This window comes from Homo sapiens, chromosome 1, assembly GCF_000001405.40.
Source record: "Homo sapiens chromosome 1, GRCh38.p14 Primary Assembly".
In the NCBI taxonomy this organism is placed as follows: domain Eukaryota; kingdom Metazoa; phylum Chordata; class Mammalia; order Primates; family Hominidae; genus Homo; species Homo sapiens.
Window position 1 is genome coordinate 229,173,649 of NC_000001.11, and position 25,162 is coordinate 229,198,810.

The window sequence follows — 25,162 nt, forward strand, 5'->3', positions numbered from 1 at the left end:
TCAGAGCTATAAAGGGGTGACCCCATGGAGGGGTGTTCACCATATCAATTCAGCTGACATTTGCACAAACACACACCCAGAGTTTAAATGAGAAAGGTCTTATGACTTCAAAGTGAACTCCATCCTTGAGGCCCTCTAATGGGTTGGTCACACTAATCCACTGTCCTTTCAAACAATCAGGAAATAGCTTTAAAGTTCTGGGGGAGTATGCTTCCAGGAGAGGAAGAAGGGAGTGCTGGTCAGTGAAGGGGGCTTCAGTGGGCTACAAGACAGACCCCACACTGGGAGCAACAAGTGGGGGTGGTGGAAAGGACATGGATAATTCAAAAAACCAGCTTCAGCCAGGCACGATGGCTCACGCCTGTAATCTCAACACTTTGGGAAGCCAAGGTGGGTGGATTACCTGAGGTCAGGAGTTCAACACCAGCCTGGCCAACATGGTGAAACCCTGTCTCTACCAATAATACAAAAAAATACCCGGGCGTGGTGGCGGGCACCTGTAATCCCAGCTACTCGGGAGGCTGAGGCAAGAGAATCGCTTGAACCCAGTAGGTGGAGGTTGCAGTGAGCCGAGATTACACCATTTTACTCCAGCCTGGGCAACAAGAATGTCAGGCCTCTGAGCCCAAGCCAAGCCATCGCATCCCCCTGTGACTTGCACGTATATGCGCCCAGATGGCCTGAAGTAACTGAAGAATCACAAAAGAAGTGAATATGCCCTGCCCCACCTTAACTGATGACATTCCACCACAAAAGAAGTGTAAATGGCTGGTCCTTGCCTTAAGTGATGACATTACCTTGTGAAAGTCCTTTTCCTGGCTCATCCTGGCTCAAAAACCACCCTCACTGAGCACCTTGCGACCCCCACTCCTGCCTGCCAGAGAACAAACCCCCTTTGACTGTAATTTTCCTTTACCTACCCTAATCCTATAAAACAGCCCCACCCTTATCTCCCTTCGCTGACTCTCTTTTTGGACTCAGCCCGCCTGCGCCCAGGTGAAATAAACAGCCATGTTGCTCACACAAAGCCTGTTTGGTGGTCTCTTCACACGGACACGCATGAAATTTGGTGCCGTTTTTTGTTGCTCACACAAAGCCTGTTTGGTGTCTCTTCACACAGATGCGCATGAAATTTGGTGCTGTGACTCGGATCAGGGGACCTCCCTTGGGAGATCAGTCCCCTGTACTCCTGTTCTTTGCTCTGTGAGAAAGATCCACTTATGACCTCAGGTCCTCAGACCAACCAGCCCAAGGAACATCTCACATATTTTAAATCAGGTAAGCGGCCTCTTCTTACTCTCTTCTCCAACCTCTCTCACTGTCCCTCAACCACTTTCTCCTTTCCACTCTTCAATCTCTCCCTTCTCTTAATTTCAATTCCTTTCATTTTCTGGGAGAGACAAAGGAGACGCATTTTATCTGTGGACCCAAAACTCCGGCACTGGTCACAGACTGGGAAGGCAGCCTTCCCTTGGTGTTTAATCATTGCAGGGACGCCTCTCTGATTATACACCCACGTTTCAAGGGTGTCAAACCACGCAGGGACGCCTGCCTTGGTCCTTCACCCTTAGCGGCAAGTCCCGCTTTTCTGGGGAAGGGGCAAGTACCTCAACCCCTTCTCTCCATGTCTCTACCCCTTCTCTGCTTTTCTGGGAGAGGGGCAAGTACCCCTCAACCCCTTCTCCTTCACACTTAGCAGCAAGTCCCGCTTTTCTATGGGGCAAGAACCCCTAATCCCTTATTTCCATGCCGCAACCTCTTATCTCTGCGCCCCAATCCCTTATTTCCGTGCCCCAACCTCTTATCTCTGCGCCCCAATCCCTTATTTCTGCACCCCGACCTCTTATCTCTGTGCCCCAATCCCTTATTTCCGCGCCCCAACCTCTTATATCTCTGCACCCCAATCCCTTATTTCCACACCCCGACCTCTTATCTCTGCGACCCAACCCATTTTCCCACTTTTCTGGAAGGTAAGAACCCCCGAACCCCTTCCCTCCATTTCTCTACTCTCTCTTTTCTCTAGGCTTGCTTCCTTCACTATAGGCAACCTTCCACCCTCCATTCCTCCTTCTACTCCCTTGGCCTGTGTTCTCAAAAACTTAAAACTTCTTCAACTCACGCCTGACCTAAAACCTAAATGCCTTATTTTCTTCTGCAATGCTGCTTGACCCCAATACAAACTCGATAGTAGTTCCAAATAGCCAGAAAATGGCACTTGGAATTTTTCCATCCTGCAAGATCTAAATAATTCTTGTCGTAAAATAGGCAAATGTTCTGAGGTGCCTGACATCCAGGCATTCTTTTACACATCAGTCCCTTCCTAGTCTCTGTGCCCAGTGCAACTCCTCCCAAATCTTCCTTCTTTCCCTCCCGCCTGTCCCCTCAGTCCCAACCCCAAGCGTCACTGAGTCTTTCAAATCTTCCTTTTCTACAGACCCATCCGACCTCTCCCCTCCTCACCAGGCCGAGCTAGGTCCCAATTCTTCCTCAGCCTCCGCTCCTCCACCCTATAATCCTTTTATCACCTCCCCTCCTCACACCCGGTCTGGCTTACAGTTTCATTCTGTGACTAGCCCTCCCCCACCTGCCCAGCAATTTATTCTTAAAAAGGTGGCTGGAGCTGAAGGCATAGTCAAGGTTAATGCTCCTTTTTCTTTATCCCAAATCAGATAGCGTTTAGGCTCTTTTTCATCAAATATAAAAATCCAGCCCAGTTCATGGCTCGTTTGGCAGCAACCCTGAGACACTTTACAGCCCTGGACCCTAAAATGTCAAAAGCCATCTTATTCTCAATATACATTTTATTACCCAATCTGCTCCCAACATTAAATAAAACTCCAAAAATTAAATTCCAGCCCTCAAACCCCACAACAGGATTTAATTAATCTCGCCTTCAAGGTGTACAATAATAGAAAAAAGTTTCAATTCCTTGCCTCCTCTGTGAGACAAATCCCAGCCACATCTCCAGCACACAAGAACTTCCAAACGCCTGAACCGCAGCTGCCAGGCATTCCTCCAGAACCTCCTCCCACAGGAGCTTGCTACAAGTGCCAGAAATCTGACCCCCAGGCCAAGGAATGCCTGCAGCCCAGGATTCCTCCTAAGCCGCGTCCCATCTGTGTGGGACCCCACTGAAAATCGGACTGTCCAACTCACCTGGCAGCCACTCCCAGAGCCCCTGGAATTCTGGCCCAAGGCTCTCTGACTGACTCCTTCCCAGATCTTCTCGGCTTAGTTGCTGAAGACTGACACTGCCCAATCGCCTCGGAAGCCCCCTAGACCATCAAGGATGCCTAGCTTCCAGTAACTCTCACAGTGGAAGGTAAGCCCGTCCCCTTCTTAATCAATACGGAGGCTACCCACTCCACATTACCTTCTTTTCAAGGGCCTGTTTCCCTTGCCTCCATAACTGTTGTGGGTATTGACGGCCAGGCTTCTAAACCTCTTAAAACTCCTCAACTCTGGTGCCAACTTAGACAATACTCTTTTAAGCACTCCTTTTTAGTTATCCTCACCTGCCCAGTTCCCTTATTAGGCTGAGACACTTTAACTAAATTATCTGCTTCCCTGACTCTTCCTGGACTACAGCTATATCTCATTGCTGCCCTTCTTCCCAATCCAAAGCCTCCTTTGCATCCTCCTCTTGTATCCCCCCACCTTAACCCACAAGTATAAGATACTTCTACTCCCTCCTTGGCGACCGATCATGCACCCCTTACCATCTCATTAAAACCTAATCACCCTTACCCCACTCAACGCCAATATCCCATCCCGCAGCACGCTTTAAAAAGATTAAAGCCTGTTATCACTCGCCTGCTACAGCATGGCCTTTTAAAGCCTATAAACTCTCCTTATAATTCCCCCATTTTACTTGTCCTAAAACCAGACAAGCCTTACAAGCTAGTTCAGGATCTGCACCTTATCAACCAAATTGTTTTGCCTATCCCACCTTTGGCACCCTGTGGTGCCAAACCCATATACTCTCCTATCCTCAATACCTGCCTCTATAATCCATTATTCTGTTCTAGATCTCAAACATGCTTTCTTTACTATTCCTTTGCACCCTTAATCCCAGCCTCTCCTCACTTTCACTTGGACTGACCCTGACACCCATCAAGCTCAGCAAATTACCTAGGCTATACTGCTGCAAAGCTTCACAGACAGCCCCCATTACTTCAATCAAGTCCAAATTTCTTCCTCATCTGTTACCTATCTCGGCATAATTCTCATAAAAACACACGTGCTCTCCCTGCCAATCGTGTCCAACTGATCTCTCAAACCCCAGCACCTTCTACAAAACAACTCCTTTCCTTCCTAGGCATGGTTAGCGTGGTCAGAATTCTTACACAAGAGCCAGGACCACACCCTGTAGCCTTTCTGTCCAAACAACTTGACCTTACTGTTTTAGCCTAGCCCTCATGTCTGCGTGCAGTGGCTGCCGCTGCATTAATACTTTTAGAGGCCCTCAAAATCACAAACTATGCTCAACTCACTCTGTACAGTTCTCATAACTTCCAAAATCTATTTTCTTCCTCATACCTGACGCATATACTTTCTGCTTCCCGGCTCCTTCAGCTGTACTCACTCTTTGTTGAGTCTCCCACAATTACCGATGTTCCTGGCCCAGACTTCAATCCGGCCTCCCACATTATTCCTGATACCACACCTGACCCCCATGACTGTATCTCTCTGATCCACCTGACATTCACCCCATTTCCCCAGATTTCCTTCTTTCCTGTTCCTCACCGTGATCACGCTTGATTTATTGATGGCGGTTCCACCAGGCCTAATCGCCACACACCAGCAAAGGCAGGTTATGCTATAGTACAAGCCACTAGCCCGCCTCTTAGAACCTCTCATTTCCTTTCCATCGTGGAAATCTATCCTCAAGGAAATAACTTCTCAGTGTTCCATCTGCTATTCTACTACTCCTCAGGGATTCTTCAGGCCCCCTCCCTTCCCTACACATCAAGCTCGAGGATTTGCCCCACCCAGGACTGGCAAATTAGCTTTACTCAACATGCCCCAAGTAAGATAACTAAAATACCTCTTAGTCTGGGTAGATACTTTCACTGGATAGGTAGAGGCCTTTCCTACAGGGTCTGAGAAGGCCACTCCAGTCATTTCTTCCCTTCTGTCAGACATAATTCCTCAGTTTAGCCTTCCCACCTCAATACAGTCTGATAACAGACGAGCCTTTATTAGTCAAATCAGCCAAGCAGTATTTCAGGCTCTTAGTATTCAGTGAAACCTTTATATCCCTTACGGTCCTCCGTCTTCAAGAAAAGTAGAATAGACTAAAGGTCTTTTAAAAACACACCTCACCAAGCTCAGCCACCAACTTAAAAAGGACTGGACAATACTTTTACCACTTTCCCTTCTCAGAATTCAGGCCTGTCCTCGGAATGCTACGGGGTACAGCCCATTTGAGCTCCTGTATAGACGCTCCTTTTTATTAGGTCCCAGTCTCATTCCAGACACCAGACCAACTTGGACGGTGCTCCAAAAAAATTGTCATCCCTACTATCTTCTGTCTAGTCATACTCCTAGTCACCGTTCTCAACTACTCATACGTGCCCTGCTCTTGTTTACACTGCCGGTTTACACTGTTTTTCCAAGCCGTCACAGCTGATATCTCCTGGTGCTATCCCCAAACTGCCACTCTTAACTCTTGAAGTAAATAAATAATCTTTGCTGGCAGGACTATGCTGAATCTCCTTAGGCACTCTCTAATCAGATATCCTGAGTCGTCCCAATTCTTAGACCTTTTATACCTGTTTTTCTCCTTCTCTTATTCCAGTTTCTCAATTCATCCAAAACCGTATCCAGGCCATCGCCAATCATTCTATACGACAAACATTTCTTCTAACATCCCCACAATATCACCCCTTACCACAAGACCTCCCTTCAGCTTAATCTCTCCCACTCTAGGTTCCCACGCCGCCCCTAATCCCGCTTGAAGCAGCCCTGAGAAACATCGCCCACTCTCTCTCCATACCACCCCCCAAAAATTTTCGCCGCCCCAACACTTCAACACTATTTTGTTTTATTTTTCTTATTAATATAAGAAGGCAGGAATGTCAGGCCTCTGAGCCCAAGCCAAGCCATCGCATCCCCTGTGACTTGCACGTATACGCCCAGATGGCCTGAAGTAACTGAAGAATCACAAAAGAAGTGAAAATGCCCTGCCCCGCCTTAACTGATGACATTCCACCACAAAAGAAGTGTAAATGGCCGGTCCTTGCCTTAAGTGATGACGTTACCTTGTGAAAGTCCTTTTCCTGGCTCATCCTGGCTCAAAAACCACCCCCACTGAGCACCTTGCGACCCCCACTCCTGCCTGCCAGAGAACAAACCCCCTTTGACTGTAATTTTCCATTACCTTCCCAAATCCTATAAAACGGCCCACCCTTATCTCCCTTCACTGACTCTCTTTTCGGACTCAGCCCGCCTGCGCCCAGGTGAAATAAACAGCCATGTTGCTCACACAAAGCCTGTTTGGTGGTCTCTTCACACGGACGCGCATGAAAAAGAGCAAAACTCCGTCTCAAAAAAAAAAAAGAAAGAAAACCAACTTCCAGATTTGTCCATTGTACCCCACACAAGCCAGACTAAAGAGCAGCCACAGTCCCTTCTCCCTTCTCAGCCGGTGACACTGACCAGAGACAGAGGGGACTGCCAAGAGGCCACTGCTGGTCAGAAATGCTCACACTCACTCACGTGTTCTCACACACTCTCACACAATTCACACTCACTCATACACACTCAGATACACTCACACACTCACACACACACTCTCATACTCACATTTTTTCACAATCTCTCCAATTCTTTTTTATTGAAGAATGTGTTATTTATTGAAAATATGTATAACTTTAACAAATTACAGTAACTCCATTATCCCGACAACGATTTTTATTTTTATAGGCCTTCAGTCCTTGTACACATTAAACAGACCACTCACAGGGTCCCACACTGCAGTGAGCAGCAGCTCACTGCAATTCCTTAGGCCACCCTGTACAATGCCACCCCAAGAGCGGCTCCAAATTTTAAGTCCAGAAGACAAACACAGAAACCCAACAAGATATATATTTACAAATACAGTGTAGAGAACAGCAAAATATTTCAATAGTTTTGTCTAAAATGCTTTCTTTCATGCATCATGTAGAGGCTATAGAGAGGGGAACAGTCTCTGGATCACAGAAAGGGGAACTTAAGCAAAAAACAAACAAACAAAAACGATGCTAGGCCTGGTGCAGTGGCTTAGGCCTGTAATCCCAGCACATTGGGAGGCAGAGGCAGGTGGATCGCTTGAGCCCAGGAGTTCCAGACCAGCCTGGGCAAAATGCTGAAACTCCATCTCTACCAAAAAAAAAAAAAAAAAAAAAGAATACAAAAATTAACCAAGTGTGGTGGCATGCAGTTGTAGTCCCAGCTACACAGGAGGCTGACTTGGGAAGATCACCTGAGCCTGGGAGTTCGAAGCTGCAGTGAGTCGTGATCGTGCCACTGCACTCCAGTCTGGACAACAGAGTGAGACTCTGTCTCAAAAACAAAAACAAGTAAATAAAAGTGTGCTTTCCAAAACCTTCCAGTAACCCCAACATGAGACACATAAGCAACCAAGTATACTTCAAAAGTCTCAGATTCTCATTTAAGTTGACTTTCAATCATCAATGTTGGCACCATGCTGCTGGTTTGGGGGAATTGTGTGTGTGTGTGTGTGTGTGTGTGTGTGTGTGTGTGTGTGTTTAATCATCCTTATTACAGTTGAACATGCTGCTGTTTAAAATCACCAATGCAAACATTGCCATTTTTGGTAATCCTGCTGTTTTCATTTATGAGAAAACCTGCAGAAAGTACTCTGCCTACACCAAAGTGAAGTAGCAAAGAAACAGGTGACCACAGAATCATAAGGCCCTAAGACAGGCAGCAGAGCATACGGTTACCCCTAAGTGGGAAAAATGCCTGCCCTCAAACTATGCAACCTGTTGCCTCTTCCTAGGAACACTATTTTTTTCTCTTGCTGGTCTTCTGTTTGATAGATGCACTTCAAATTTACCTGTTAAATTAGGCCACGTTCTTTTGAGTTTTGTTTCCAATTCACACCAACAAGAATTCTTCCACTGATGTTTTTGAAAAGTTATTGACCATGTGACTGTGACAAAAAAACTATAAATGGGGTGTGGTGGTTCACGCCAGTAATCCCATTGCTTTGGGAGGCTGAGGTGGGAGGATCTCTTGAGGCCAGGGGTTCGAGACCAGCCTGGGCAACATAATGAGACCCTGTCTCTACAAATAAAAAATAAAAACCCTACAAATGTGAGGATGCAAACCAGTTGTTTAGTACTCAGCCCATCATATATTATTGGAGCCACTGACTTTTACTTAAAATATTTAATTCTCAAAATTTAAAATTCAAATTTCATAAAATCTCCAGAGTCTTGATAAACTGGAAAATCAGGTGACACTGTCTATAAATCAGCCAGAGCAAATAACTCACTGTTTGTCCCCTTCAGACACCGTGTGTTTCCCTATTACAGCCAGCCCTTCCTGGGCCTCTGAAGGTATTTCAGTTTTTGACCCCCGAATTATAGTAAACAGGAGCAAATTCTGATAACAATGTTTGTCACCATTAAAAATAAGCTTTTAGAGACAGTCACACTCTCTGTAAAGGAATTTTTTAAGTATTTCTACAAAATGTATGGATTCTCCACAGTTTGATCCACTTAGTCTGCTTGGCTAACAAGGATATGAAATGGGCCCTTATGTCATTAGTAAAAGATATAAATTCATTCTTCTCCTGACCTTAGTTAATAGTTGGTTAGAAAAAGATAAGTTTCCAACTGCCGGGTGGTAATGATATGCATGCTGAAGGCACACGTGTCAGAAAACCAAACAATTTCACGACTACCTGCACACTTTCAGCTGGTAAGTTATGCATATTGTCAGTTTAACCAAGACTAAGCCAAAGAGAATTTCTTGAACATTCCCACTTTTCTTTGGCACATCAAAAGGCAACAAATGCCATTTTCTCCAGTGTTTACATGTCCAGTATAGAAAAAAAAGACCAATTCTCCATCTATATGCCAAGCATGAAATAAAAAGCATAAATATGGTCCGGGCTAAGTCACCTGGGTGGGGCCCATCCAAGGGAGAGTTTGATGTTTCCTTGCATGGAAAGTTCCTGCCGCCAATGGCACTGCACTGTGATTATCTTAGCTAGTAAGATTCAAGAAAAATGGAAATATTTGTGAAGAGGTGACCTCTCCCTCACCTCCACACTTTGCCTCTTTTCCCTTTTCTCCCAAAATAAGAGACTTTAAACAGCAAGCACTTAAAATAGCTTTTAGCCTTGCTTTAGTATAAGGTCCAGGGTACCATATGGTTTGGCCATTGGAAGAAAGCTGAAACACAGGCCTTTGTGGGTGTTAAAATTCAAGTAGCCGTTTCTAGCACTTTTCTCATACATTCTTTAAAACAACAAACTATGGACTTTCCCATGGGACAGTTTCAGGTGATCCCCCTTTGTGAATGAAGGACCACTTCAGAGTTTGGGGGAAACGCGAAGATTTTAGTGACTTACCAGGGATCTGGTAAGATCAGGGAGAGCCCCTCTCCCCTTTTCCAGCTGGACACTGAAACTGAAGCCTGTGAAATGGACCCGGCAATGAGGCAGTGCTTACCAGGTTCTCCAAGGCCACCCCAGCCGAAACGCGGAAAGAGTCCTGATCAGCCTGACTCCATTTCAGCTCAGACACTGCCCTGCCAGTTTGTACTTCCCTTAATCACCACGTCCTCACTCTGGACACCGTATCGGGATGTGAGGCAGGGAACCTATTCACAGCTCCAAAGAGGCCTGGTCCCCTGTTTGGATCTCCCCAAAGGGTACTTACTTGTTTTCTCCGCTCTTTGAGATTTTTGCTTAATTTCAAATTTCCAAAATATGCCATAAGTGAACACTAAAAATGTTGGAACACTATGGCTACTCTACTATGCTTGGGCAGGGAAAATTAACAGCTGATAAACTGTGAGTACAAAGGATGCCAAAGTTCATTCTGAGTTTTAATATCATCTAGATAAAAAACAAGAAAAGCAGCAAGTCTACACCTCAGCGCTCTCTCCAAGTGACACACCCACTCACATCTGCACACACATTACTCACACTCATACACACTCTGTCACCCTCACATACATTCACATTTACTCACATGTCCTCTAGGCCACACACATGAACACCCACACGCAGAGATGCCCCAGTACGTTTGGACACACATAGCAGAGGCTCACCCCCAGAGCTTACATGAGAACAAGAGAACACGCCTTTCTAGCCTCACACTACTCAGCACTAGAATCTACTGGTCCAACAAGGCTAGTCTCATTAGAATGCCGTAAACTTACCCTGCAAATCAGTGTTGGCCAGTCTCTGTGTTTTTTGTGGATGAATCCCCCAAATGATTTCATTCATCTTTCAAAGCTCAGCACCAATCCAATCTCCCTCATAAAGTCTTCCTCAACTACTATTAATACCTCACCTCTATGAAAGGCAGAGTGGCCAGTGGAATGCAGCTCACAAGCAAAACTGGGGACCCGCTGCTAGAGCCCGGTGCCTTCCTGTCTGCAGCCTGGAGGCGGCTTTGACTGGCTCACTGAGTCTCCCAGCCCTTGGCACAGAACAGGCCCTTCGTCAACAATGAACCTTCTCATTGACTCTTAAGAAGCTGTGACTTTATTCTGTAGGTAATGGAAATTCAGTGGACACTTCTAAGAAGATTAACCCTGGGAGCTAAGTGATGAGAACTTATGAACACAAAGAAGGAAACAAAAGTCACTGGGGTCTACAGGGTGGAGGGTGGAAGGTGGGAGGAAGGAGAGGAGAAGACAAGATAACTGTTGGGTACTGGGCTTGATACCTGGGTGATGAAATAATATGGACAACAAACCCCTGTGACACATCTCTACCTATGTGACATGTCTTTACCTATGTTACCTATTTAACAAATAAAAGTTAAAAAAAAAGAAAATTACAGAACACTGCTGGAAGAAATATTTAAATATTTAAAAAGATTAACACAATCAAATCTGTGTCATAGGAAAAACAAGTTTGGCAGTGGGGGTGGGAGGGGCTAGATTCAAAGGGAGAAAAGCTAGAGGCAGGGAGACGGACAGTTATTACATTTCTGCATGGGTTCAGTTTGTCAGCGGGCTCATGAGCTGCTAGCTCCAGAAGATGCCTGAGACCCCACGTAGTCCAATTTCTTCACCTACAGCTGAGAAAACTGAGGTGGGGAGAAGAGAAGACACAGCACGTTCTAGCAAAAAGTCAACAAAGACATGTAGCAAAACCAGACCTTTGCTACCCAACCTCAAGGCACATACGCCACAGTGGAGGATCAAGGCAGAGACATAGGCAGCAGAAGAAAGATCCAGAACATAACAGGACCTAATTACTTCCAACATGAGTGACAAAGACCATAAACCCCAAAGGAATTGCAGCGAGGGAAGCATCAGCACAAGCTGAGAGACACGGAGTGGAATTTGTACTGGAAAATGCATGTCCAGGAATTGTGAGTAGGCGTTGGGGGACCCCTCAGGAGTCCACCCAACTGACGGAAGAGAGTTAACATGGGATACATGTGGTTGGACACATGGGATGCAGCAGGGGTAGCTCACGGAGGGCACTGAACCTCAAACTAATGAATCTGGACCAGACTTAATTGGCAAAATATAGTCAGTGCAACTGCACCGGACCAATCTGGCTCAACTTTTTTTTTTTTTTTTTTGAGACAGATTTTTGCTCTGTCGCCAGGATGGAGTGCAATGGCGCAATCTCGGCTCACTGCAACCTCCACCTCCTAGGTTCAAGCGATTCCCCTGCCTCGCCTCCCGAGTAGCTGGGATTACAGGCATGCGCCACCACGCCTAGCTAATTTTTGTATTTTTAGTAGAGATGGGGTTTCATCATGTTGGCCAGGCTGGTCTCAAACTCCTGACCTCAGGTGATCCACCCATCTCAGCCTCCCAAAGTGCTGGGATTACAGGCGTGAGCCACCACACCCCACCCAGCTCAACTTTTATGTAACAAAGTTATGACTTGTTTTTCAGTCATCATGGACTCCCAGGTTGAAGGTCACATGACCTGAGCCTGCCCAGGAGATCTAAGTGTGCAACCACAGTGGGGACCTACGTGCTGGGACGGAGGAGCAGGGACTGAGTTAAGAAGCAGACACTGGATGGTAGGATCCGGGATCCAATCAGATGGAGCTCCGGCATCATCCCATGGCAGGAAGCAGTCAAACCATGCCTCCCGGCATCACCTCATTGCAAGATCCATTTAGACCACACCTCATTACCCTGCGCTTATAAAACACAAACCAAACCCCAGCTTGGGGAGACAGACTTGAGCATTTCCTACTGTCTCTTTGCCAGTTGAGTCGCAATAAAGCTTTTTCTTTTCTCAAAAGCTGGCACAATGGTATTGGCCTCTATGCGCATTGGGCGTCAAGCCACTGATTGCTAGGTTACAAGTGTTCTTGAATATAAGAACAGCTGGATTAAATTTGTATCTTAGGAAGATTTCATCAGTCAGCCTTCAGTATGATTTAGAGAGGAGAGTAGAGTTGGAATGACAGTTTTGAAGCTCATGTAAAAAGTCAGTGTATCTATCATTGTGCATTGAATAATCCCATAACTTAGTGGCTTAAAACAATAATCAGTGACTTGTATCTCTCAAAGTTTCTGTGGATCAGGAAGTCAGGAATGGCTTGGCAAGGGTAGTCCTGGCTCAGTCATGAGCTGGAGGCTTCAAGCAAATGTCAGCCCCTGACCGCAAGTAACTTACCCGCCTCGGCCTCCCAAAGTGCTGGGGTTACAGGCATGAGCCACCACGCCCGGCCTCCCTGCTTTATTATCTCCATTTTGTAACTGACAGACACTAATCCAAAAACCTCAGAGCTGAGGAAGCACAACCTTCAGACCAACTCTCAGAAGCAGGGCGGAATGAGAAAGACACAGAACAGTACAATGTTTGAATCATGATGAAGCCTTTCAACAGCATCATCCAGGCTCATCCTTCACTAAACCTCCCTACCTGCCTCCTGCCCCATCCCTTCATTTAGAGCTGGGTTCCTGCTGTGGGCAAACATCTACTAGGGCCTGTATGGGAGTAAAGCAGACCTCAGTTAGGGAGGCCAGCAGCAGAAAAACTCGACTTTCACTTTGGGTTTCTGTTTGACTCTTGAAAGCCACATCACCAGGCCTCTTATGCAGCTAGGAGCTATGAAGGTGCAGGGAAAGAGCAAGATCAGGGAGGGCAGCTCACAGAAAGCCTGTGCCTACCCACGTAACTGAATTCTGCCACTTCATGGATACTGTGAAAGAACGCTCCACTTAAAGAGAGTCACTACACAGATACCCTAACCTGTAAAACACAATAACTGGGAACCAATCAGCAAAAAGGTTTTTGTATTTTTTATTGACGTATCACAGTTGTACATATTTATGGGGTGTATGTGATATTTTGATACCTGTATACAATGTGTAATGATCAAATCAGAGTAATTGGAATACCCCTCACCTCAAACATTTCTTTGTGTTGGGAACATTATATTTTTTTCTTCTAGTTTTTCTTTTGAAATATACAATAAGTTATATTGTTTTATTTTGTTTTTGTTTTTTGTTTTCATTTTTGTTTTTTGAAACAAGGTATCACTCTGTCACCCACGCTAGAGTGCAGTGGTACAATCAGGGTTCACTGCATCCTCAACCTCCTGGGCTCAAGCGATCCTCCCACTCCAGTCTCTCAAGTAGCTAGGACTATAGGCATGTGCCACCACACCCAGCTAGTTTTTCTGGAGACAAGTTTTCCCCATGTTGCCCAGGCTGGTCTTGAATTCCTTGCTTCAAGTAATTCACCCACCTCAGCGTCCCCAAGTGCTGGGATTACAGGCATGAGCCACCATGCTTGGCTTACAATAAACTACTGTTAAGTATAACTTCTCTGCTGTACTATTGAATACGAGAACTTATTTCTTCTATCCGACTGTATTTTTGTACCCCTTAACCTACTTCTCTTCATCCCTACAGCCCCCTTCTCTTCCCAGCCTCTGATAACCACCATTCCATTTCCAAAAAGTCTTTAAGGGGATGAAAATAAAAGGTGGGAAAAGATGAGCCCAAACTGGAAAACTGGGATAACAATCTCAACCTTTAACAAAATAGAATTCAAGTTAAAAAGAATCATAGGTTACTGGCAAAAAGAATCATACAGCCAAAAGATATAATCACCTAAATTCAAAACCATATATCCTCAAAATACATGAAGCAAGGGTAAATCAACAGTTGTGGGTGAAGACTTAGCACACCTTTCTCAAACACTAATGGCTTGAGCAGATAAAAATTATAAACAAAGATATAGAGTATGCTTGAACTATGAGTTATATACAGGACTCAATGTCTAACAAAGAGAAGATACACATTCTTTTCAGGCATACATAGGATGTTTCTAAAAACTGACTATGTACCTCAATGATCAATTCTAAAGAATCAATATTATATATATATATATCTCCCATGTATTCTCTGACCACATAACAATAAAATTAGAAATCAATATCAAAAAAGTATCTTTTTGAAATACCATATCCAACTAACCCTTAAATAACATGGGAGTTAGGAACATTGACCCCCCGCTCAGTCAAAAATTCACATACAACTTTTGACTCCCTCCAAAAGCTTTACTAATAGCCTACAGTTGACAGGAACATCACCGATAACACAAATAGTTGATTAACACATACTGTGTATGTTATATGTATTATATACATTATTCTTACAATAAAGAAAGCTAGAGCAAAGCAAATATTATTAAGAAAATTCTAAGAAAGAGAAAATACATTTTCTATTGATTAAGTGGAAGCAGATCATCATCAAAGTCTTCATCCTCATCGTCTTCACATTGAGTAGCTGGGGAGGAGGAGGAAGAGGAAGAGTTGGTCTTGCTGTCTCAGGGGTGGCAGAGGCAGAAGAAACCTCCAGTAGAAGTGGACCCGTGCAATTCAAATCTTTGTTGTTTAAGGGTCAACTATGTCTGGAAACCAATTAACATGCTAACAAATATATTTACATTAAAATAAACTAATAGGAAAATTATAAAATAAATAACAATGAAAACACTGCCAAGCAAAACCTGGGGTGCCAGGCCCAGATGGTTACCTAGGTAATCTCTACCAAAATTTCAAAGAATAAATAATATGCTACATAATCTTACTGACTCTAATAGCGTATTAAGAAAAATTACAACCAATTAGTATTCAGCTCAGGAAGGCAAGAATGGTTCCATGGAAAACATTTGTCAATGTAGTTAACATTGCTAGAATAAGGGAGAACAATTCTATGATTATCTCAATTTCTACAGAAGAGACACTCGGTAAAGTTTAATAACTATGTATTAAGGTGGGGGAAATCTCTTAACAAATTGAAGAAACCAAAGATAGAAAGGGAATGCCTTAACTTAGAAAAGGTTATACATCAGAAAACTTACAGCAAATACTCTGCTAAGGGAGAAGCTTGACCCTCACTCCCTTTAATTGTGAAAGCAAGACCATGCTCTTCCGTCCAGGACTGCCCTTTAACATAGTCCTGAAGGGCTCAGCCAACAGTGCAAGAAATAAAAAGGAAAGAGCAGAAGAGTGGGAGGGGAAAAGATAAAAATATCATAATTTGCAGACTGTAGGATCATCTATAATAAAAAAACAAATGGAGTTTATAAAGATCATTGAAGACCAGAAAAACTTAAAAAAAATCATTTGTAGCATTTCCCTTTACCATCAAAAGTCAATAAGAGAATGATAATAAGATGGTGACTCACAATAGTGACAAAAATTATCTTGTATCCAGGAATTTAATTATGGAATACTTAAGACCTAGGCGGGGTGTGGTGGCTCATGCCTGTAATCCCAGCACTTTGGGAGGCTGAGGTGGGCAGATCATTTGTGGCCAGGATTTCAAAACTATCCTGGCCAACATGGTGAAACCCCATCTCTACTAAAAGTACAAAATTAGCCAGGCATGGTGATGTATGCCTGTAGTCCCAGCTACTCAGGAGGCTGAGGCAGGAGAATCGCTTGAACCTGGGAGGCAGAGGTTGCAGTGAGCTGAGATTGCGCCACTGCATTGCAGCCTGGGTGACAGAGCGAAACTCCATCTCAAAAAAACAAAAACAAAGAAAACTTAAGGCCTGTATGGAGAACAAATTTAAACTCTTTTAAAGGACATTGTTTTAAAGATCTGAATAGAGGAACATTTCACACTCTCAGCTGGGTTAGTGTAATAGTATAAAGATATCTATTCTTCCTCAAACTGATGTATAAATTTAATGCTGCACCAATCAAAATTAATGCCAAACTTCTTGAGGAATTTGATAAGCTCACTCTAAAATGTATATGGAAGAATAATGTCCATATATAGCTATCTATTTTGAAAAAGAAGAGCAGAGAGAGGCTTGACCTACTAGATATTACCACTTTCCCTAAAACCACACTAATTAATAGCATGACAATGGCTCTGCAGCAACAGCCACAGTACTGAGCTCAGACACAGGCCCAGGTGTGATTGGGGCTATGATAAAAGCAGCTCCACAATCACTGAGGGAAGAACAGACTATCTAGGATGGGGTTGGGAAAACTCACTTGCTACGTGGCAAAAAATAAAAGCAGATGTCTAAAGCCATGTATAACAGTGGAATCCAGATGGGATCCCACCCAAATGTGGAAGGCTGGATTACAAGTTTAATAGAAGATGATGTAAGAGAATAACTTTGTGACTTAGGAGTGAAGAGGAACAACTTAAAAAGAATCCCCAAAACAGAATGAAACAGAAATTAAATACTGATTAATAACATTGGAATTTAGCAGTTCTTTTCAACCAAGAACCCCAGGACAGAGTTAATATTTTGTACTTATTTAACAAACATTCATATATACTATGCATCAAGCTTTACTATGTGTTCCTGGGTGCTTTAAAATATCAACCGATTCAATATTCTTAGCAACCCCATGAGGTGGGTACCATAAGGTGCTGAGATGCACAGAGGTTAATCTGCCTAGGGTCCCATAGGTAACAGGCACAGCCAGAATTCAAACTCAGGTCTTTAGAGCCAAGTTCTGAACCACTGACCTACAGGGCCATGCCACAGAGTGGTGACAGATTGGGACAAGATATGTGCTATATCCAAAACAAAGAAGGACACAAATTTAGAATGTACAAAGAACTTCTGTAAATCAACAGCGTAAAACAGAGAAGCCCAATAGAAAAAAAAGGGTGCCAAGTGTATGAACAGGCAATTTACAGGAGAGGAGATACAAAGGACTGCTGACAAGCCTTCAGAAGAGAAATTTAAACTCATTATTATCAGAAAAATAAAAATAAAACAACAAAACATCACATTACACCTACGAGATTGGCAACAAGTCAAAAGCTGGGCATGAGGCTCCAGGAGGCTAATTGCATTGCTGGGGCAGGGATGGAGTGGACGGGTGCAGCCACTCTGGGGAGCAACTTGGTGGTTGTTATTCCATCTGGGTATACTCATACTTCATGACTCAGCAATCCAGCTCATTCATATGTATATTTATGTATGCAGGTATTCAGGAGCTGGATATATATGTAAATCTTCCAGGGAAGTTCTCACAGATGTCCTAGAGGGGAATGAATGTGTGAATGTTCTCATCCCAGTTTGGTCCTGGTACTGGGGAGTTGAGGGGGACCTAGATACCTGTTTCTAGGTGAAGCAACGTATACCATGTGGTGGGTACTCACTGTGGAATCCTATGCAGTGGTGTGAAACCACACACTGGGTGTACACACAAAAACACAGACAGAGAAACATTGTGCTGAGTAAAAAAGGAAACAGAATTACATCTATAGCACATTACTATTTATGTAAATTGAAAAGCACACACACAAAATCACAGTATGTGTTTTATAAAATATATTTATTGTCTTTTTTTTTTTTTTTGAGCTAGGGTCTTGCTCCGTCTCCCAGGCTAAAGTACAATCATGGTTCACTGCAGCCTTGACTTCCTGGGCTAAAGTGATCCTCCCACCTCAACCTCCCCAAGTACTTGGAACTACAGCCACATGCCACCATGCCTGGCTAATTTTTAAAAGATTTTTTTAGAGATAGTATCTTGCTGTGTTGCCCAGGCTGGTCTCAAACTCCTGGCTTCAAGCGATCCTCCCTCCTCAGCTTCTCCAAGTACTGAGATTACAGGTGTGAGCCACCGATCCTGGCCTATAAACTATATCAATATTTGTACTGATGTAAAGTTTATGCATAAACTATATTGTTTTTAAACTAAATGTTTGTTTACAAATGAAAAGATGGATACAGACATAGATCCAACATGAGGAATGGTTGCCCATGAAGGAAAGAAAATGAGAGTGGAAACACCTCTAAAAAGGAATGAATAAATTAAAATTAGAAACCAGGGTGGAATCTTGTGCAGAACAATGATGATTAATGTGCCCTGAGCCAAGAAGTATGATTAACTCAGCCCTCCATGTCATGTCTGAGTCAAAAAAAGTGTCCACAATTATGAAACACAATGATTAGGAAATGATCTTTTTTTTTTTTTTTACACAATGGTGTCATCTATCATAGCGTCTCTTTAAACCACAATGTTTCCTTATCTCTTTAGACTATTTTGTTTTTTAAAAAGTAAGTTTCCAATTAAACTATTAAATAATGCATCTGTCATACAGGGCTACACCCATATGCCTTTAATATATATATAATATATATACATAAATCAGACATGTTTTCTATCTTTGTCCTAAACAGGTACTTTGGTCTAATTTTTAGAGGAATTGGTCTCCAAACAAGTCCCTCAGAACTAGTCATGACAATCTACTGGAGATGGAAAGAGATCTTAGAAATTCAATCCTACCTAGTGAAGAAATTAAGTTCTAGCTGTTTCCTGTGTGACTGCTGCTGCTCTTCCTTTCTCTACACATCAGCTGTGCATGGCCCCCAGGTTGGGCGCCATGCACAGCTATCCTGGGGGTCTGGATGGTGGTGGCCTGTGGCTCTCATTTTTTCACTCCTTCACTCCTTCCACTGCTGCTGTGTGAGGCAGTTACCTGTGTCCATTTAGACTGTCTAGTTTTAACCAGATTCATGCTTACAAAACAGGCATAAAAGATTCCTGCAAAGAAACTGCAGAGGGAAAATAAAGTTAACCAAGAAAGCCAGCTGATCCAGCAGAAAGGAGCAATGGTGGCCTTTTCCCTACTCCTGACACAAGCTCTTCAACAGCCATGATAACAGATAAAACAATGGCAATCGAATCAGACCAGGCGAACATTCAGCCACAAACACTGAAACCATCAAGAAGATGTAAAGACTGGATTTATAGCCACTATCAATCTCTCTTATGTGTGTGTTGTGCCGTGACAGTGGCTAATGATAGCATAAACCATCCAGACATTGACAGGCTAAACGAGAACATGCATAAAAGGACAGACCTTTACAGGTTCTTCAGCAATGGTTAAAGTGAGGAAATGTTTAATTAATCCACCACTTTGAAAGCTCACTGCACTTAACAACAAATTTAAAAACTTCTTTCACATCTTCTCACTTCATAACAGTAGACTAAAAACATCACTTAACATTTGGGAAATGCACAATTTTTTCCCTACTAGGGAATTAGATTTCCTTGCTAGAGAAAAAAAAAATGGCTGAAATAAAATACGAAAAACAACTTAGCAACAGACTAAAATGTAATCCTTTGTTAATAGCTACTATTGAAAGACACATGTTCAAATGTTGGTGAGCATTTGAAGAAGCAAGCATTAGAATACGTTGTGTAGCCAGAGAGGTTTATTATACAAGAGGAAAGTAAGGATGTCCCCAACAGGTCTAGGCTTATAGCATTTGTTAGGTTCTGTATGGATGGTGAAATATAGCTTTTTCGTTCTGCATTTTTAGTAGAGATGGGGTTTCACCATGTTGGCCAGGCTGGTCTTGAACTCCTGACCTCAAGTGATCCACCCGCTTCGGCCTCCCAAAGTGCTGGGATTACAGGCATGAGCCACTGCGCCCGGCCGATGGTGAAATATATCTTTTTTTTTTTTTTTTGAGACGGAGTCTCGCTTTGTTCCTCAGGCTGGAGTGCAGTGGCGCAATCTCGGCTCACTGCAAGCTCTGCCTCCCGGGTTCACGCCATTCTCCTGCCTCAGCCTCCCAAGTAGCTGGGACTACAGGCGTCCGCCACCACGCCCAGCTAATTTTTTGTAGCTTTAGTAGAGACGGGGTTTCACCATTTTAGCCAGGATGGTCTCGATCCCCTGACCTCGTGATCTGCCCGCCTTGGCCTCCCAAAGTGCTGGGATTACAGGCGGGAGCCACCGCGCCCGGCAGAAATATATCTTAAAATCTCCTTTTTTGTGAACCACTAAAAGATGCCCCGGAGAAGATGCACTCAACATTAAATAACAATTTGAATAAAAATAGTGCCTCACAAGAAGACTGCAAGGTGCAGCCACAGAGGGAGTTGCTGCTTTCACTCGAACTTTCTTCTTTAAGTACAAGAAATTATGGGATTAGGTTTACAAATAAACTCCTCCCTTGAAATTCATTTGCAGAAAAGTTACTGTGGCATACAAGTTGACCACAATGCAACAAGTGCTGCCGAATGTCACCAATGTGGTTAGTTTTATTTAAAAAAAAAAAAAAAAAAAAAAAAAAGATCTCGGCCGGGCACTGGGACTCATGCCTGTAATCCCAACACTTTGGGAGGCCGAGGCGGGCGGATCACGAGATCAGGAGATGGAGACCATCTGGCTAACGCGGTGAAACCCCGTCTCTACTAAAAAAAAAAAATACAAAACATTAGCTGGGCGTGGTGGCAGGCGCCTGTGGTCCCAGCTACTCGGGAGGCTGAGGCAGGAGAATGGCATGAACCCGGGAGGCCGAGCTTGCAGTGAGCCGAGAAGGCGCCACTGCACTCCAGCCTGGGAGACAGAGCGAGACTCCGTCTCAAAAAATAAATAAATAAATAAATAAATAAATAAATAATCTCTAAACTTTCATTCCAGATAGTCATGAAATTTTTATAGCACAAGGGTTGCCTCGTGGCCAAATACTTAAAAACCTCATCAAAACCAATCATTTCTATTGTACAAGATGTTCCAAGTTGGCTGATAACGTTTCATGATGACACGTGGCATTCAACAATCTGCTTCCCAGCGGATATTATTAAGACATCTCAATAAATTTTTACAACATTCACAGTCTTCAAGGTAAAGGTAAAGTTTTAACAGGAGTGAGAGAATAAGCCTTTTAGAAAGAAAGGTGTGTACTGGAGAAGGCATTTTTAAAACATGTGTTTAAAAATGTTTCCATCATTATATAACTTCATTCCTAAAAACCGTTAAGTGTGACACCAACAATAACCCTCATTTCTACAGGCTTTAAAAACTTAGTAGCACCAGGAAAATAAAAAGACAACCCAAAGAATGGGAAAAATATCTGTAAATCATTTATTTGATAAGGGACTTGTATCTAGAAAATACTAAGAACTCTTACAACCCAATAATTAAAAAGATGAACAATCCAATTAAATATGGGCAAAGGATTTAAATAGATATTTTTCCACAGAATATATAAATGACCAATAAGGTCATGAAAACATGTTCAACATCATTATTCATTAGGAAATGCAAATCAAAACCACGATGATATAACACACACCTACTAGGATGACTATAATAAAAAAAAACAAGTATTGAAGAAGTGAAAAAACTGGGAGGCTCATACATTGCTAGCAGGAAAGTAAAATGATACAGCCACTTTGAAAAAGTCTGGTGGTTCCTCAAAAGAATAAACATAGAGTTTCCATACAACCCAGCAATTCCACTCATAGGTATATGTACAAAGAAATGAAAACATACAACCATGTAAAAGATTGCACATGAAGGTTTATAGCAGCATTATTCATAATGGCCCAAAGTGGAAACACTCCAAATGCCCATCAGCTGATAATGGATAAATAAAACATAGTATATCCATACAATGAAATATGAATTGGCCCTACAGATGAAGAGAGTACTCACATATGATACAACACAGATGAACCTTGAAAACATTATGCTAATGAAAGAAGCCAGTCACAAAAGACCACATGTTATTCCATTTATATGAAATATCTGGAATAGGTAAGTCCATAGAGACAGAAAGTGCATTAGTGGTTGTTTAGGGGAGCTGGGGACAGGGGGAATGTGAGACGTAAATGCTAAGGGTGAGGGTTTCTTTCTGGGGTGATGAAATGTTTTAAAACTGATTATAGTGATGGTCACAAAACTCAGTAAATATACTAAAAGCCACTGAATTGTACATTTTAAATGGGTGAATTGTATCATTTGTGAACTATATCTCGAAAAGCTTCTACCAAAAAAATCCTTAAAAACAGAACTTTCCAACCTGTTTTTAAAATTTCCAAACAATGTATACATAAAGACAATTCAATTAATTTGTAAGAACTTCACTGATGAATGCAAAGAAGGTAGAGACTTAGTTACTGAGTCTCACCAAAGATCCTAGCACCATTAGTAGATACAACTGAAAAATGAGGCCGAGTGAGGTGGCTCACATCTGTAATTCCAGTGCTCTGAGAGGCAGAGGTGGGAGGATTGCTTGTCACCAGAAGTTTGAGACCAGCCTGGGCAACATAGTTACCCCATCTCTACAAAAAATACAAAAACTAGCCAAGCATGGTGGCACACACCTGTAGTCCCAACTATTCCATAGGCTGAGCAGGAGGACCCCTTGAGCCCAGGAGATCCAAGCTGCAGTGAGCCATGTTGTGCTACTGCACTCCAGCCTGGGCGACCAAGGAGACCTTGACTTGAAAAAGACAAAACAGGCTGGGCACCGTGGCTCATACCTGTAATCTCAGCACTTTGAGAGGCTGAGGCAGGAGGATCGCTTGAGCCCAGGAGTTCAAGATCAGCCAGGGCAACATAGCAAGACCCTGTCTCTACAAAGAAAATACAAAAATTAGCCAGGTACAGTGATATGGGCGTGTAGTTCCAGCTATTCAGGAGGCTGAGGTGGGAGAATTGTGTGAGCCTGGGAGGTCAAGGCTGCAGTGAGCTGTGATGCCACTGTGCTCTAGCAAGACTGTCTCAAATTAAAAAAGAAAAGAAAAAGAAAAAAGAAAAATTAGTAATGAGGCTTAGTGAAGGCTTAGTACATCCCATCAACCATGTGTGGCTTCTACTTGGATCCAGTGTATCTTCTTTAAGGGTGGCAACCGTTAAACCCAAATATTCAAATAACTAGACTTAATCCAGGCCTTTGAATCACCACATTACCCAGAGTTGAGTCAGGATTTTAGAAGAAAATAAAAGCTATCCAAACACACTTCTTCACTGAGAGGAAACAATTTCTGGACTCTTTCATAAATAAATTATATTTTAAAATATTGTTTATTGCATCATTTTAATTTCTGTTTTGTGTATATTTTATCATAGAAAATATACTAACACGGTTGTGTATAAACACAATAAATCATACATCTCCTTTGGGGATGCATGTCCCAAACCTTTTTGCTGATACAATCCGAGGCTGTGGAGACCTAGGTTTAGAGGAAGAAGCTGAAGTTGGGAAGTTGGGAACTTCCATCTTTTCCCTTACTTCCTGTATGATTCAGAGTAATGGGTGCAAATGTGAGGGGGCTGAGCCACACTCAGGCCACCCTGAGAAGGAGTTTGCAGTGAGGATTGAGGGAGCCCGGGCCTGGAATACAAGCAGTGGCTGGGGCAGACTGGACTCAGGCCTCACTCTTATGGCCCTCGCAGCTCCATGCCTGCTGTCTGTCATGGTCTGCTTAGGGATGCAGAGAGCTGGACGGCTGGTGTAGCTGACGGCCTGTCATCTCTTGAGCAGAACCTGTTAGGCCGTCCAGCCTGCAGTGGGGCACACCTCTGGTTCAGGTATAGCCACCCCTGTATACAAACACACATACACACGCACACACACACATACTACCTGGAGCTGCTTCCTTCACAGAGCGGGGAGTGAGCTGGAAGCTGGGGTCAGGCGGTGTCAGTTGGAGAAGGTGGCTCCCACAGCAGGCATTGTGCTTGACAGGTTTCCTACAATAGACAAAAACCATCTGAGGGCTGGCAGGGACCCTGAAACAGGCCATGTTCTCCATCTCTGATTTCTACAATTTGGGGATATCACTGCCCACCCTTTCTGGAGCCGTGTGGTCCCATGAGCTTGAGGCAGAAGGCCTGGAGTCTCGTGCCAGCTCCACTCAAGGAGCTCGGGCTCTCAGCACCTGCAGCTCCTCATGAGCAGAGCACATGGACGCGTCACCAGTCATTACGACGATTAAGGGAAAGAGTCATTAAGTGGATCTGAATATTCCTGATATTGCAATACAGACCAGTAGAGCCAATAAACTCCACGGCCTGTGTTCTTCCTAACAAGCCCCTTTTGTTCAGGATTCAGGGCCTCAATGGAAAAGCATCCAGAAATATCCCATGCCTCCTCAGATCGGTGATACCTCAAATGTTACCTTAAAAACTACGTGACAGGTATTCCTGACACCCGAAGGACAGGTACGGCATAGAACTTCAGATTCTCAGAGCTCAAAGGACGCTTGGCCTAATCCTAACTCTCCATTTTATGTATAAGGAAATTGGGGTCCCTGGGGAGAAGCAACTTGCCCAAGGACACTTACAGCTGCATGGACATGAAAGATAGTCCTCGTGATACAAGCCAGTGTTCCCAAAGTGCCCTGCCATTAAACATTATTGGAAAATAACGAAAGAAAACAGCCCTTGCCACATACCACACATTATCTAAAGCAATGTTTCCAAACTGCAAGTCATAACATTTTCTTGAGAAATCACTTTTGTAGATTGAAACTAGGATTTTATTAACAAAAATATAACATGGAATAGAAAACACCAAAGTGAGTACAGTCAGTCCTCCACATCTGCAGGTCACACGTCCGTGGATTCAACCAAATAGAGGTCAAAAGTATTGGGAGAATAAACTGTGTCTATACTGAACATGTACAGATGTTTTTTCTTGTCATTATTCCCTAAACAATACAGTATAACAATGATTTCCACAGCATTTACATTACAT

At 43.3% G+C, this 25,162-nt stretch overlaps 6 annotated features.

Annotated features, from left to right (window-relative positions):
• Positions 296 to 860: an enhancer, noted in NCBI's record as "OCT4-NANOG-H3K27ac hESC enhancer chr1:229309691-229310255 (GRCh37/hg19 assembly coordinates)". NCBI's record gives its function as "activates a minimal SCP1, AML or CMV promoter by ChIP-STARR-seq in naive and primed H9 embryonic stem cells {active_cell/tissue: H9 hESC(naive and primed)}" and the evidence as "EXISTENCE:reporter gene assay evidence [ECO:0000049][PMID:30033119]".
• Positions 3,715 to 4,641: an enhancer, noted in NCBI's record as "H3K27ac hESC enhancer chr1:229313110-229314036 (GRCh37/hg19 assembly coordinates)". NCBI's record gives its function as "activates a minimal SCP1, AML or CMV promoter by ChIP-STARR-seq in naive H9 embryonic stem cells {active_cell/tissue: H9 hESC(naive)}" and the evidence as "EXISTENCE:reporter gene assay evidence [ECO:0000049][PMID:30033119]".
• Positions 4,642 to 5,568: an enhancer, noted in NCBI's record as "H3K27ac hESC enhancer chr1:229314037-229314963 (GRCh37/hg19 assembly coordinates)". NCBI's record gives its function as "activates a minimal SCP1, AML or CMV promoter by ChIP-STARR-seq in naive H9 embryonic stem cells {active_cell/tissue: H9 hESC(naive)}" and the evidence as "EXISTENCE:reporter gene assay evidence [ECO:0000049][PMID:30033119]".
• Positions 5,569 to 6,495: an enhancer, noted in NCBI's record as "OCT4-NANOG-H3K27ac hESC enhancer chr1:229314964-229315890 (GRCh37/hg19 assembly coordinates)". NCBI's record gives its function as "activates a minimal SCP1, AML or CMV promoter by ChIP-STARR-seq in naive H9 embryonic stem cells {active_cell/tissue: H9 hESC(naive)}" and the evidence as "EXISTENCE:reporter gene assay evidence [ECO:0000049][PMID:30033119]".
• Positions 13,107 to 13,156: an enhancer, noted in NCBI's record as "active region_2699". NCBI's record gives its function as "activates an Ori minimal core promoter by ATAC-STARR-seq in GM12878 lymphoblastoid cells {active_cell/tissue: GM12878}" and the evidence as "EXISTENCE:reporter gene assay evidence [ECO:0000049][PMID:35858748]".
• Positions 24,074 to 24,573: an enhancer, noted in NCBI's record as "H3K27ac hESC enhancer chr1:229333469-229333968 (GRCh37/hg19 assembly coordinates)". NCBI's record gives its function as "activates a minimal SCP1, AML or CMV promoter by ChIP-STARR-seq in naive H9 embryonic stem cells {active_cell/tissue: H9 hESC(naive)}" and the evidence as "EXISTENCE:reporter gene assay evidence [ECO:0000049][PMID:30033119]".